The sequence below is a fragment of the Homo sapiens genome, chromosome 5 (genome assembly GCF_000001405.40).
Source record: "Homo sapiens chromosome 5, GRCh38.p14 Primary Assembly".
Classification (NCBI taxonomy): domain Eukaryota; kingdom Metazoa; phylum Chordata; class Mammalia; order Primates; family Hominidae; genus Homo; species Homo sapiens.
Genome location: NC_000005.10, coordinates 84,405,396 through 84,420,359, shown reverse-complemented (window position 1 = coordinate 84,420,359; position 14,964 = coordinate 84,405,396). Strand labels below are relative to the sequence as shown.

The 14,964-nt window shown below is 36.1% G+C and overlaps 1 long non-coding RNA gene across 3 annotated transcripts in view; it reads right to left on the bottom strand.

Annotated features, from left to right (window-relative positions):
* Nucleotides 1-2,701: 2,701 nt before the first annotated feature.
* EDIL3-DT (EDIL3 divergent transcript) overlaps nt 2,702-14,964 on the bottom strand; it is a 35,237-nt gene continuing 22,974 nt past the window's right edge. For all 3 annotated transcript variants that reach the window (NR_183295.1, NR_183296.1, NR_183297.1), the window contains exon 4: nt 2,702-3,081. This is a non-coding gene — a long non-coding RNA (EDIL3 divergent transcript). The remainder of the gene's footprint in view (nt 3,082-14,964) is intronic.

Sequence of the window (14,964 nt, the reverse complement as noted above, 5' to 3'; positions counted from 1 at the left end):
TCAGGTGAGCACTCATAGTACTCGGCTATAAGTTCGTATGATTGAAAAAGGCACTGAAGAAGTAGGACAAACAGTTTTGAATTGCCAATGCCATCCCTTTTTCATCCTCCAACAGTGGCCATGTGGCACAGAGAGATAATCTGTGCACTTGGGAGAGGGAGAATACTGTAATTGTGACATAGTGCATTGAATTTAGTACTTAGTGCTGCCTTGTTACAGAAGAAAGCAAAACTGGAACAAACTCAGCTGATGCCTGCCCATGGAGAGAGCATTTAAGCCAGTACTAGCAAGAAGGGAATCATCCATCCCAGCAGTCAGAATTTGAGTTCTGACAAGCCTCACCACCTTGGGCTGGAGTGCTCTGTGAAAGTGCTGAATAAACTGAAAGGCAGTCTAGGGCCACAACGACTGCATCTCCTAGGCAATTCCTAGGGCTGAACTGGGCTTAGAGCCAGTGGATTGTGTGGGGGATGGGGAGGAGCGGGCATGTGAGCTACTGAAACACCAACCAGGATGGCTGAGGAAGTGCTGGTGCCACCCCTCCATTAATCCCGGGCTGCATATCTTGCAGCTCCAAAGAAGACACCTTTTTTTTCCCACTTGATAGGAGAGTGAAGAGTGGAGAGGACTTTGTCTTGCATCTTGGATACCAGCTCAGCCATAGCAGGGTAAAGCACGCACTTGCTGCTCAATATATCCCCGTGTGGCAGAGCTGATAGCTATGGTGCAAGACAAAGTCCCCTATTCTTTTCCCTCTGCTTTTCTCAAGTAGAAGGAGTCTGTCTCCATAGCCACCACTGCTGGGAATGTACTGAGTTTCACCTGAAGCCAACAAGTTTCAGAGTCTCACCCAAAACCTGTGATACTTACCTATCACTGCTGGTTATTCAGGGTCAATAACACAAAAAGCTGGTTTTTTGAACAAACAACCCCATCATGAAGTGGGCGAAGGATATGAACAGACGCTTCTCAAAAGAAGACATTTATGAAGCCAACAGACACATGAAAAAATGCTCATCATCACTGGCCATTAGAGAAATGCAAATCAAAACCACAATGAGATAACCATCTCACACCAGTTAGAATGGTGATCATTAAAAAGTCAGGAAACAACAGGTGCTGGAGAGGATGTGGAGAAATAGGAACACTTTTACATTGTTGGTGGGACTGTAAACTAGTTCAGCCATCGTGGAAGACAGTGTGGCGATTCCTCAAGGATCTAGAACTAGAAATACCATTTGACCCAGCCATTCCATTACTGGATATATACCCAAAGGATTATAAATCATGCTGCTATAAAGACACATGCACACGTATGTTTATTGCGGCACTATTCACAATAGCAAAGACTTGGAACCAACCCAAATGTCCATCAATGATAGACTAGATTAAGAAAATGTGGCACATATACACCATGGAATACTATGCAGCCATAAAAAAGGATGAGTTCATGTCCTTTGTAGGGACATGGGTGAAGTTGGAAACCATCATTCTCAGCAAACTATCGCAAGGACAGAGAACCAAACACTGCGTGTTCTCACTCATAAGTGGGAATTGAACAATGAGAACACTTGGACACAGGAAGGGGAACATCACACACTGGGGCCTGTCATGGGGAGGGGGGAAGGGAGAGGGATAGCATTAGGAGATATACCTAATGTAAATGACGAGCTGCATGTATACATATGTAACAAACCTGTACGTTGTGCACATGTACCCTAGAACTTAAACTATAATAATAATAAAAAAGCTGGTTTTTTGAAAAGTTAAACAAAATTGAGAAAGCTAACTAACAAAAAAGAGAATACCCAAATAAATAAAATCAGAGATGAAAAATGAGTCTTTACAACTGATACTGTAGAAACTCAGAAGATCATTAGTGGATACTATGAGGAATTATACAGGCCAAAGAATTAGAAAATCTAGAAGAAATGAACAAATTCCTAGACACATACAACCTATCAACATTGAACCATGAAGAAATCCAAAGCCTGAGCAGACCAATAACAAGTAACAAGATTGAAGCTGTAATAAAATGTCTTCCAGTCAAGGAAAGCTGTGATTCCATGGCTTCACTGCTAAGTTCTACCAAACATTTAAAGAAGAATTAATCCCAATCCTATGCAAACTATCTCAAAAAATAGAGGAGGATGGCATACTTTCAAGCTCATTCTTCTATGAGGCCTGTATTACCCTGGTACCAAAACCAGTCAAAAACATATCAAAAAAGGGAAACTACAGGCCAATATCACTGATGAATATGGATCCAAAAATTCTCAACAAAATACTAGCAAACAAATTCAACAACATATTAAAAGTTTGATTCATCATGATGAAGTGACATTTATCTCAGGGGTGCAAGAATGGTTAAACATATGCAAATCAGTCAATGTGATAAATCATATCAACAGAATGAAGGACAAAAACCATATGATCATTTCAATTGATTCAACATCCCCCCATGATAAAAAAAAACAAAACCTAAGAAAACTAGGTATAGAAGTAACATACCTCAACATAATAAAAGCCATATATTACAGGTCCACAGCTCATATACTAAATGGGGAAAAAAACTGAAAGTCTTTTCTCTAAGATCTGGAACACAGCAAGGATGCCCACTGGTCATCACTGTTATTCAACATATTACCGGAAGCTCTAGCTAAAGCAATCATACAGGTGAAAGAAATAAAGGGAATCCAAATTGGAAAAGAAGAAGTTAAATTATTTATATTTCCGTTTACAGATAATACAATTTTTTTTTTAGACAGAGTCCCACTCTGTCACCCAGGCTGGAGTGCAGTGGCATGATCTCAGCTCACTGTAACCTCCACCTCCTGGGCTCAAGTCGTCCTCCCACCTCAGGCTCCCATGTAGCTGGGACTACTGGCACATGCCACCATACCCAGCTAATTTTTCTATTTATTTTGTAGAGATGGGGTTTCATCATGTTGCCCAGGCTGGTCTCAAACTTCTGGGCTCAAGTGATCCACCTGCCTTGGCCTCCCAAAGTGCTGGGATTCCAGGCATGAGCCACTATGTCTGGCCAATCAGTAGTACTTCTATATGTCAACAGTGAACAATCTGAAAAAAATCAAGAAAATAATCCCATTTACAATAGCTACCAATAAAATAAAATATTTAGGACTTAACCAAAGAAATGAAGTTTTTCTACAATGAAAACTATACAACATTGATGCAAGAAACTGAAGAGGACACAAAAAAATGAAAAGATAACCCATATTCATGGTTTCAAAAAATAATATTGTTAAAATATCCATACTTCTCAAAGGAATCTACAGATTGAATGCAATTTTTATCAAAATAGCAATGACATTCTTCACAGAAGTAGAAAAAACATTCCTAAAATTTACATGGAACCACAAAAGACCCAGAATATCCAAAACTGTTCTAAGGAAAAAGAACAAAACTGGAGAGATCACATTGCCTGACTTCAAATTATATTATAGAATTATAGGAACCAAAACAACATGGTACTGACACAAAATCAAACACACACACCAGTGGAACAGAATAAAGAACCTGGAAATAAATCCTTACATCTATGGTGAACTCATTTTTGATAAAAGTTCTAAGAACATACATTGGAAAAGGACAGCCACTTCAATAAATGGTACTAGGAAAACTGGATATCCATATGTGGAAGAATGAAACTTGAAATCTATCTCTTATCATATAAAAAAATCAAAATGGATTAAAGACTTAAATCTAAGACCTCAAACTATAAAACTACTAAAAGAAAACTGTGACAAAACTTTCTAGGACATCGGACTGGGCAATAATTTCTTGAGTAATACTCAACAGAAATAGGCAACCAAAGCAAAAATAGATGAATGAGATCACATCAAGTTAAACAGTTTCTTCACAGTTAAGGAAACAATCAACAAAGTGAAGAAATAACCACAGAATGGGAGAAAATATTTTCAAACTATCCATCTGACAAGGGATTAATAACCAGAATATATGTGTAGCTCAAACAACTCTATAGAAAAAAATCTAATAATCTGATTTAAAAATGGGCAGAAGATTTGAATAAACATTTCTCAATGGATGACATGCAGATGTCAAACAGGTATATGAAAAGTTGCTCAAAGTCATTGATAATCAGAGAAATGAAAGTCAAAACTACAATGAGATACCATCTCACTGCAGTTAAAATGGCTTATATCCAAAAGACAGGCAATAAAAAATGCTGTCAATAACATGGAGAAAAAGGAACCCTCATATACTGTTGGTGGGAATAAAAGTTAGTGCAACCACTATGGAGAACACTTTGTGAGTTCCTCAAGAAACTAAAAATAGAGGTATCCTATGATCCAGCAATCTCACTGCGGGATATATACCCAAAAGAAAGGAAGTCAGTTTGGAACCAACCCAAATGTCCATCGGTGATAGCCTGGGTTAAGAAAATGTGGCACATATACACCATGGAATACTATGCAGCCATAAAAAGGATGAGTTCATGTCCTTTGTAGGGACATGGATGAAGCTAGAAACCATCATTCTCAGCAAACTATCACAAGGACAGAAAACCAAACACCGCATGTTCTCACTCACAGGTGGGAACTGAACAATAAGAATACTTGGACACAGGGTGGGGAACATCACGCACTGGGGCCTGTCGTGGGGTGGGGGCAGGGGGGAGGGGTAGCATTAGGAGATATACCTAATGTAAATGAGTTAATGGGTACAGCACACCAACATGGCACATGTATACATATGTAACAACCCTGCATATTGTGCACATGTACTCTAGACTTAAAGTATAATTTAAAAAAAATAAAAAAAAATAGAAAAGAAGTCAGTATACCAAAGAGATATCTACACTCCTGTGTTTGTTGCATCACTGTACACAGAAGCCAAAATTTGGAAGCAACCTAACTATCCATCAAAGGATGAATGGATAAAGAAAATATGGTACTTATACACAATGGAGTACTATTCAGCCATAAAAAGAATGAGATCCTGTCATTTACAACAAAATGGATGGAACTAGAGGTCATTATGTTAAGTGAAATAAGCCAAGCACAGAAAGACAAACATCACGTGTTCTCACTTATCTGTGGGAGCTAAAAATTAAAATGGTTGGAACTCTTAGCAACAGAGAATAGAAGGATGGTTCAGCCCCTGGAAGGGTAGTCAGTGGGTGAAGTCTGGGAGAGGGGAGTGGAAATGGTTAATGGGTACAAACAATAGTCAGAAAGAATAAATAAGACCTACTATTTGATAGCACAGTGGGAGGATTCTAGTAAAAATAATTATTTTAAAATAACTAAAAGAGTATAACTGAATTGTTTTAAACACAAAGAATAAATGCTTGAGGTGATGGATATTCCATTTACCCAGATGTGATTATTATGCATTGCATGCCTGTATCAAAACATTTCATGTAATCACTAAATATATACATGCATTATGTACCAACAATTTTTTAAATTAGATATTGGAGCACTGGGCTAGTCCTTTCATTGTCTTGCCCTTTCTCTCCAATTTTTTTTTTTTTAATTCTTGGGTCTTATGTTCTATGGTCCAAGATTTATAATAAACTTTTCTGTTTCAATTTTCTTCCTTTCACTATTGCATTTTTTTTGCAGTTCAATTTTTTGTTCACTTCTTGTTCTTTATTTTATATAGCATCTTATTCTTCATTTATGGCTAGAATAAGTTACTTTGTCTTTTCAAATAATAATTATAGTTCTTTAAGAAGTTTTATTCTCTCTGCGTATTCTTTGTTTCTTAAACTGTCTTTTCTCTGTTTGCTATCTTGGTTTCTACCTCTCACAAGATAAGCTTTTCTCTCAAATTCCAATCATTGGATGGATGGCCCTTATGAGATATTTAAGAGTATTCCAGTATAAAACTGATTGAAAAATTTAGGGCCTTTGTGTGTGCTTTAGCACCATAAGCTTCACTTTAGAATGACCTGACTTCCATTTAATTTGGGGAAACCATGTTTTGAATTAGATACTTTATTTTACTCTGATCAGGTTCCCCAAAAAACACTTTTCCAATATTCTTCTTGAAAGCTTATAATTCTAAATGCCAGGGCTTGGGAAGCTGATAGAATAGGTCTAAGAGGTCTCATATGAACTTTCACCATGTTTTTGACATGGTATGTTTACTACTAACTATACGTGATGTCTTTCAAAGCAGAATCTTTATATTTATTCTCTCCAAAGGAAAACTTTTTAACCTGTAAGTAAGTGGTTATAGTATAGATATTTGGAGTTCTCCCACAAGTTTTGTGGTTTATTTATTTGATTTAGTAAAATCTACTTGCCAAAAGCCACATCCATAGCTTTTGCTAGACGTAGCTTATTAGACTTTTCCAGAGAAACAGAATTAACGTGGTGGGGCGGGGAGAAAAATTATTTTAAGAAACTGGTTCATATGATTGGGGAGGCTGGGTAAGCCCAAAATCTGCAGAGTAGTACAGCAAGCTGGAGACCCAAGAAAGAAGTACAATTCAAGTCCACAGGCGGTCGGCCAGCAGAATTCTTTCTTGCTCAGAGGAGGTCAGTCTTTGTTCTATGATGCCCTCAAATGATCTGATGAGACCCACTCATGTTATGGAGTGTAATTTGTTTTACTCGAAGTCCACAGGCATAAATGTTACTCTCATTTTTAAAAAAAAACCCTCACAGAAACATTCAGAATGATAATTGACTAAATATTTTGATCCCATGGTTCACCCAAGTTGACACATAAAATTAATCTTTATATATACCTACCTCTTTTGACTTATTTACAGGTACTTTGACCACATCAGCCTTCTCTGGGGCCATAACCTTAACCATTTTAGCCTTTTGGCCTAGCTTAAAAAATTAACTAGATATGACCTAAATATTTTTAGCAATCTTAGCAAACCTGCTACAACCACAGCCTTGATTTGGTATTTACCCTAAGGTCTTACTGGTAGCATCCTGGACTTGGTCTTTTTTTCTAGGACTCTGTTCTAATGGGTGGAGTGCAGTACATCCTTGATTTTGTAAGAAATAGCTCATATGTTCTAATCATGCAAGTTGGAAATTTGGGGCTGCCTATATTCCTTCTTTTTTGTTTGTTTGTTTGTTTGTTTGTTTGTTTTTAGATGGAGTCTTGCTCTGTTTCCAGGCTGAAATGCAGTGGTGTGATCTCCGCTGACTGCAACCTCCGCCTCCCAGGCTGAAGCGTTTCTCCTGCCTCAGCCTCCCAAGTACCTGGGACTACAGGTGTACGCCACCATGCCCAGCTAATTTTTGCATTTTTTAGTAGAGACAGGGTTTCACCATGTTAGCCAGGATGGTCTCGATCTCTTGACCTCGTGATCCGCCTGCCTCGGCCTCCCGAAGTGCTGGGATTACAGGCGTGAGCTACCACACCCGGCCATTCCTTCTTAATTCTGTTTGCAAAGTGACCTTTCTTTTTCTGATTTTGTCTCTTTTTTGTAATACCATAATTAACAATAACCAGCTCATACTTTCAACATTTTGACTTGAAATATCTTCATATTGCTCTAAAATTCATTAGGTATATTTTCTGTCTTTCTATCACGAAAGCGATGGAATGTACACCATTACATACAGTTTACCATCTTTCCAGCACCTATAACAGTTTCCTTAAAAATTTTCCAGGTTCCTGTAACTATTTTCTCACTGACCACCCATCCCCAAATACTTTTGTGGTATCACATCAGTGCTAATTTTGTGGTACTAACTATTTCTGTGCATTTTATAACATTTCATACTTTTGCTATAACAAATTACTGTTAACTGAATGTCTTAAAACAACACAAATGTATTGTCTTGTAACTCTAAAGGTCAGAAGTTTAAAATAAGTATCACTGGGCTAAAATCAGGTGTTATTAGGGCTCAATTCCTTCTGGAAGCTCCTGAGGATAATCCGTTTCCTTCTCCCAGAGACTGCCCACCCTCCTTGGCTCATGACTGCCTTTCTACACATTAAAATCCAGCAACAGCAGGCTGACTCTTTCTCAAGCTGCCATCTCGATGGTTCTCGATAATCAAATCTTTTTTTTTTTTCTTTAAGTGCCCTTGTGATTATATTGGGCCCAGCTGGAAAATCCAGATTAATCTCCCTATTTTAAGGTTAAATGATTAGTAATCTTAATTCCATCTACAAGCCTTAATTCCCATTTGCTATGTCATGTAACATTCACAGGTTCCAGGGATATGGAAATGAACCTCTTTGGTGGGCCATATGCTGCCTACCACACTGTGTCATAAGCAATTGCAAAATCTCACTGGTTTAAAACAACACACATTTATTTCTAGCTCCCACATATGCCAACTGGCTGGGGTTCAGCTAATGTAGGCTGGGTTTGTTGATCTTAGGTCTAAGCCTCAGGTCAAGTTGAGACATGCTTTACAAGCTTCTCATCTTCCTTGGGCTATAAGCGGTCCAAGACATGTTCTTATGGCAGAAGGTAGAAGCACAAGAGAGCAAGCCCAATCTTACAAACATTTTTCACACCATTACTTGCATCACATCCACTAACATCCTACTAACGAAAGAAAGTTGTGGATGGGCACAGTGGCTCACGCCTGTAATCCCAAATTTTACGAGGCCAACACAGGAAGACTGCTTGAGCCCAGGAGTTCCAGGCCCCCCTGGGTAACATAGTGAGAGCTCATCTCTACAAATACAAAAAATTAGCCAGGCATGGTGGTTCATGCCTGTAGTCGTGGCTACTTGGGAGGCTGAGGAGGGAGGATTAATTGAGTCTGGAAGATCTAGGCTGCAGTGAGCTGTGATGGTGCCACTGCACTAACAGCCTGGGTGATAAGGCAAGATCCCAGTTTCCTAACAGAAGGGAAGGAAGGAAGGAAGGAAGGAAGGAAGGAAGGAAGGAAGGAAGGAAGGAAGGGAGGGAGGGAGGGAGGGAGGGGGAGAGGGGAGGGAGGGACGGAGGGATTGTGTAGCCAAGCCCAGCATCGTTAGGATAGAAACATATACTCTCCCATGTAAATGTGGAGAAAAGGCATTGAATATTTACTAAAACAAACAAAACACTAACTTACCTTACTAAGCAGGGAATTACAGAAAATGGAAACAAACAGCTTAAAACTTCCCATTCACTTCACTTACATATATGAATGCTATTTAAATCCATAGTGTTGATTACATGCTTTAGCACAAATTTTATAATTCATCTCTTTTTACTCTCAGGTTAATTTCTTCGAGCAAATAATAAAGCTAAAAGCACTTTCGAAAAATAAGTTATTAAGCTCCCTACCAATTACTATATACATAAAACCATTTTAACTCTGAAAAAATATAAAATCCATAAGTAGGTTCATAACAAAAGTATAAGTAAGTGGTCAGACTCCTATGAAACTGCCTCATTTTTAGAAAGATTATAGAGTCGAGTTTACTTGTGAGGATAACTTCTTCTCAAATAAATACTGATATAGAAGTAAGATGCTTTTGTTCCTATAATACTTCAAAGTCAAGAGAAGATTATCCATGCTAAATACTCATTTTTGTAATTCATTTCACTGAAGACCATCATTTCACAGTACAATGATCTACTTTAAGCCATCTCTTAAGTCTTTAATCATTCTAACAGTTTTATTTCTGCATACAAAACACAAAGTGACTGTTAGAGAAAATAAGACTATCTAAAAGAAATAAACTTCTAAGCCAAAGGTTATCATTAGAATTTTCTCCCAAAAGATTGTGCCCTAACTAGACTTCTGAGTTGTGTTTTACATATTGAAAGTTAATAGTTTATGGTGTTCAGTAGGTCAGTATTTATTTGAACTGTTTACCAATCTTACTGTACAAGGATACAGAAAAATCCACAATCAATAGTGATTTCTGTCATCTTCACAGTATCTAAACAAGAATTTGTAACAGATTTTGAAAAAAATCACTTTGATGAGAAGTTTTATTGAGCGTATCCAATCTACAATCTAGGTAATAACTTGAAATTTTAAAATTTGATTGTTTTTTATTTTACTGTTATTAAAAAAGCACAAGTTTCTTTGCAATATTGTTTCTTCATTTTGAAACAATCTCAAACTTATAGAAGAGTTGCCAAGTACAGTACAAGGAACTTTCTTTTTCTGAAATATTTCAGTGTAAGCATGTTGTCCCCAGTACAGACAGCTTTATTACCTCGATTGAGCTTTGGTTCCCCCTATCAGGCTTCCCCTCCACAAGTAAACCTACCTTGCTCAGTCCATGTAATTACTGTAAGAATGAATTACCCAGGAAAAGAAGTAGAAGGAACAACCGTAATTATACTTCTGTATTTCTTCCACAGTCAGGTTGATTAAGGAGTACATGCTGTGTGATCAGGTATAGCATGATACTAAGGAATCTTAGAAAGCATTAATCCAGAAAATGGCAATTCAAAATGCCTTTGCTTTGCCTTATATATTTCAATACCCGATGCTGAAATTTCCTATATAAAAATGTTATATCTAACAAAAAACAAAATTAATCACATAACAGCAGACTCAATCACATTTGGCTGCTGTATATTTTTATTTTACTAAAATATGTAATAACATAAATATTTTAGATATTTGGCAATAAAATAAACTGATAAAGTCTACACAATAATCAAAGACTTTTTTTTTTTCTTTTTGAGATGGAGTTTTGCTCTTTGTTGCCCAGGCTGGAGTGCAATGGCGTGATCTCAGCTCACTGCAACCTCCGCCTCCCGGGTTCAAGCGATTCTCCTGCTTCAGCCTCCCGAGTGGCTAGGATTACAGGCATGTGCCACCAAGCCTGGCTGATTTTTTTGTATTTTTAGTAGAGATGGGTTTTCACCATGTTGGTCAGGCTGTTCTCAAACTCCTGACCTCCGGTGATCTGTTTGTCTTGGCCTCCCAAAATGCTGGGATTACAGGCATGAGCCACCACGCCCAGCCTTGAAGACATTTTGAATGCATATTTCAACTATCCTATGTCCAAATATTTGAAGATAATTTTTATATTTTTTGTTACAATTATCAATTATACTTAGTAATTTTCATTTTTACTACTATTATTCTTTTTGTTTATTTATTTTTAGTTTTTTAGCTTACAGGCTACTTTATTTTAAATAATAAAATGTAAAAGGTGGTAAGCCTCTAGCCAAAAATAAACACATGGGGAAAAAAAGAGAGCCTATTCTAAAATAAAAATATGTCTGTCTTTATTTCTGGAAAAAATGGTCTGTTTCTGTAACATCAGAGGCAAAGTTTAAGCATGCTATTAGTACTAAGTGCATTTTCTACAAGGAAACCACAAAGTACTTTTGAAAATCAATACACTCTGAAAAAAATATTTTAAAACTTATCCATTGGAGAAATCATTTCAAAGTCAAAGAACAGTGCAAGATAATGGGTTCCGTAAAGTTCTTCTTTCTCTCTGTTCAGTATGCCCCTGTGTTCTCTCATGCTGAAGACAAAGGAGTTAGGTACATGGACCATGCAAAGGAGGAATAAGAGCTCAGTAATCCTGAGACAGTGAGCATGGCCATGGAAAGTGCCACAGTAGTGGAAAAATATCTGGCTTCCCTTTAATCCGTTCCAGACTTTTTGCAAAGATTTTTCCACTGCAATGTAAGTGTTATACTTTACACACAATTTTCTACCATTTTTCTACTGATTCTCCTTTAATAATATAATTGTATGTCAGAATTTTGATAAACATAATGAGCACATGTACTTTGAAAATAATTTTTTCTTCAATGATTTTTATACAAAGGCAGTCATGTAATACATTCAACTTTGCCTAGGCAAACTGTGGGAGTCAACATTTTTCTTGTTATGCTATGGAAAAGACATAGGAGAGGACAGATCACATTAGTCCAGAATCATATAGCTACTAAGAATCTGAATTATAAAGATTCAGATTTACTACAGTCTTATAATCATTCATTCAACAGGACAACATTTATTGAAAAACTACCTTCTTCTACAGAACTGCAAAATGTTGGCCCCAAGGAACACAGTGATAAATGAGATTGCATCTGGACCTTAGAAATATTCAGTCTAATGGATGCTTCCATAGAGCAGCCTTCAAAATGTCTAGAAAATTGAAAGTGAAAGTCATTCTATCATGTTCTGTTAATATCCATGAGAAGAGAACACTTGAACACTTGCTTTAGAAAGAAGTAAATTGTAGGAGTCAATGTACCTGTAAAATATTGATTAAATATAAATAGTTTTCTATAATGCATGGAAAACAATAAATAGGAATCCACATTTGTTGTATTCAATCATCTAAGGACCTAAAATCTTCTAAAAGGGGGGTTATAAATTGTATTAGTATGGAGTTCTGTGCTTTAACCTAAGTCATTACAGTCCAGTTGTCAAAGAATTAGAGGATTAATTATGCTGTGATTGCAATCTTGACTCATTCTACACCTCTTCTCTTTCCTTAATTAAGGAGGTTTTGAACTATCTGTTTTAAAAGGATAATTGCCTTCACTCTTCAAATTTACTTTTTTTGTAGACATCCTGCACAGTTGTGTAAGATAATGGAATACTTCATTATATGTTTTATTCATTCAAGTATACCAACTAAATATATACGTTCAACAAGTCATAAAACTGTTCACATTCCATTTTGCTGATGGATAGCCTCTTTTTCACTTTTGCTATTGTGCATCTCAGTAGAGTTATATGTTTATGGTGTCATTCTAAAAATCAATAAATTCTGCATTTATTTTCAATGACTACAACTTCTTGTGCCCTATTATATGATCTAGTAAAATAAGGAAATGATCTAGTAAAATAAGGAAAATCAGTCATCTAATGCGATACAACTAACCACTCAAAGTTTTGGTGCCTTAAATCAATGATAATTTACTATTTCAACCAAATCTGTGGGTTGGTTGAGTAACTCCTCTTTTGGTTTTGCCTGGGCTCACCATGGGACTCCACTCAGCTGAAGGGGGCCTGGGCTGGATGGCCCATATGCCTAGAAATTAGTACAACTTCTCAGCTGGGGAATTTTGATTTTCCTGTCAACCTCACATAGGCCTGATTGAACTCCATTCCAACATGGTAGCCTTGAGGTTCTAAGATGTAGAGAGGAGAAGCTCCAAGGCTTCTTGTGCTAAACTCCAGAAATAACCCAACATCACATCTGTCACATTCTGTTCACTAAAGGAAGAAATCAAGATCATCCCAGGTACAAGAAGGTGAATAAATAGAATTCACTCCATTATGGCTGTATCAGCAAGGTCACATTGCAGAGTCATTAACCCAGGAAGGTCTTCTTCATTGTTGAATATTTTTAAAATTTTCTACTACAATATATAATAACTATATATTACCAGGTGTGAAAATATCTTTTGTGAGCATAAAGGCCATGAATTCATATGATTTGAATACATATTTAGGTCAAGTTAAACAATTGTTTTAATGCACACATTTCAAACTAAAATGGTTTTCAAGCCCAGAGATTGCATTATCAGTTAAAACATTGGTATCCAGTTATTTATCTTTTGGAAAAAGCTGGTATAAAATTAAGTCAGGGGACCCAATGAAGGAAAGCTCTATGAGGTCAGGAAGCTGGCTGTTTTGTTGTTGTCATTCATTTTTGTTATCTTTTAAAAAAATCACCGTATCCTCAGCACCAAGACACCAGACACATAGGATGAATTGAATTGACATAATAAGTACAGGAAGCTTTTTTGTTGTTTTGTTGTGACACATATAGTATATATTGATTTGGTATAATAAATATAGTAGACTTTTTTGTTTATTGTAAGATTTTCAGTTGTTTTGCTTTGGTTTATTTTTGTTTGTTGTTTGTTAGCTTGAAATTTCATCTGAAGGTTGAACATACTTGTTATAAAAATGAGGACACTGAACCCCAGAGAACTTATATTAATCATCCAGGTTTAAACATTTCAAGCACTACAACAATTTGATCTAAGCTCTCAGTATGTTATCTTACAGGGAAGTTATGTGTCCTGAATTTCCTTTCAAAATCCACTCCTGACTTCACTCCTCTTCATGTAATAATAATATGTTTTATAAGCAATATATGCAAATATTTTAATAAATATCAATTTAAATATTATTGTTTTTATTATTTTACTATTTTAAACCATTATTTTAATTGACAGAATTTTTCTGGAAATAATACAGTTAATTAAATAAGTATGCATCACAATTCTGTTTTATTACATTTTCCTTCTCTAAATCCTGTCATTATCTATGGAGCATTTCTTATATTTATTCAGTATCCAACTGCAAAATACACGTGCATGCATATATGTGCTCAACACAGAAAGATAAACATAAAGACTTGCATTGGATTTATTGGGCTTGCCACTAATTTAAGAAATTAGTTAAAGCTAATCTAATTAGCTAAAACTAAGAAATTAACAAACCTAAGAAATTAGTTAAAATATTATAATTGCTTTAATTGATTTAATTTTAAAATGTAATGGTTATTTTAATTTTAACACAATATCAGGTTAATGTCTACAAAAATCATGGTTTTAAAGATCATTGCACAGTCAAACTTAAAGCTATTTATTTTCTTGTACTAAATCAATAGCTGATTTTTGAAATACACGTTAAACAGTATTATATTTTAACATTGCAAATTACTTTTAATATCATAGTAAAGAGGATTTCAAAGTTCTTGTAATCTAAGAATCACTTTTAATACTATATTTTGTCATTTTTCCCTAAAATAAATTGAATAAGGAAATTTTTCATATTTTAGGGAAATGATGGAGCAGGTTTAAATATACCAATCTTTTCATGAAGAGCTGCGTGCCAAAGAATTCACCATTTCCTTGGCAGCGTTAAAAAGTTCTGAATATTTAAGTGTTCTTCATTTTACAGGCTGAAATCTGTTTCCTGGTAGCTTCTACTCAGTATTTCCCATCTAAGCACTTCCTAGAATGATCTATTCACAATGGAACCCACAGCTTTTTTCATCCCATTAAGTACTTCCCTTTCTATGCTAAAAGGGTACTCTTGGTGC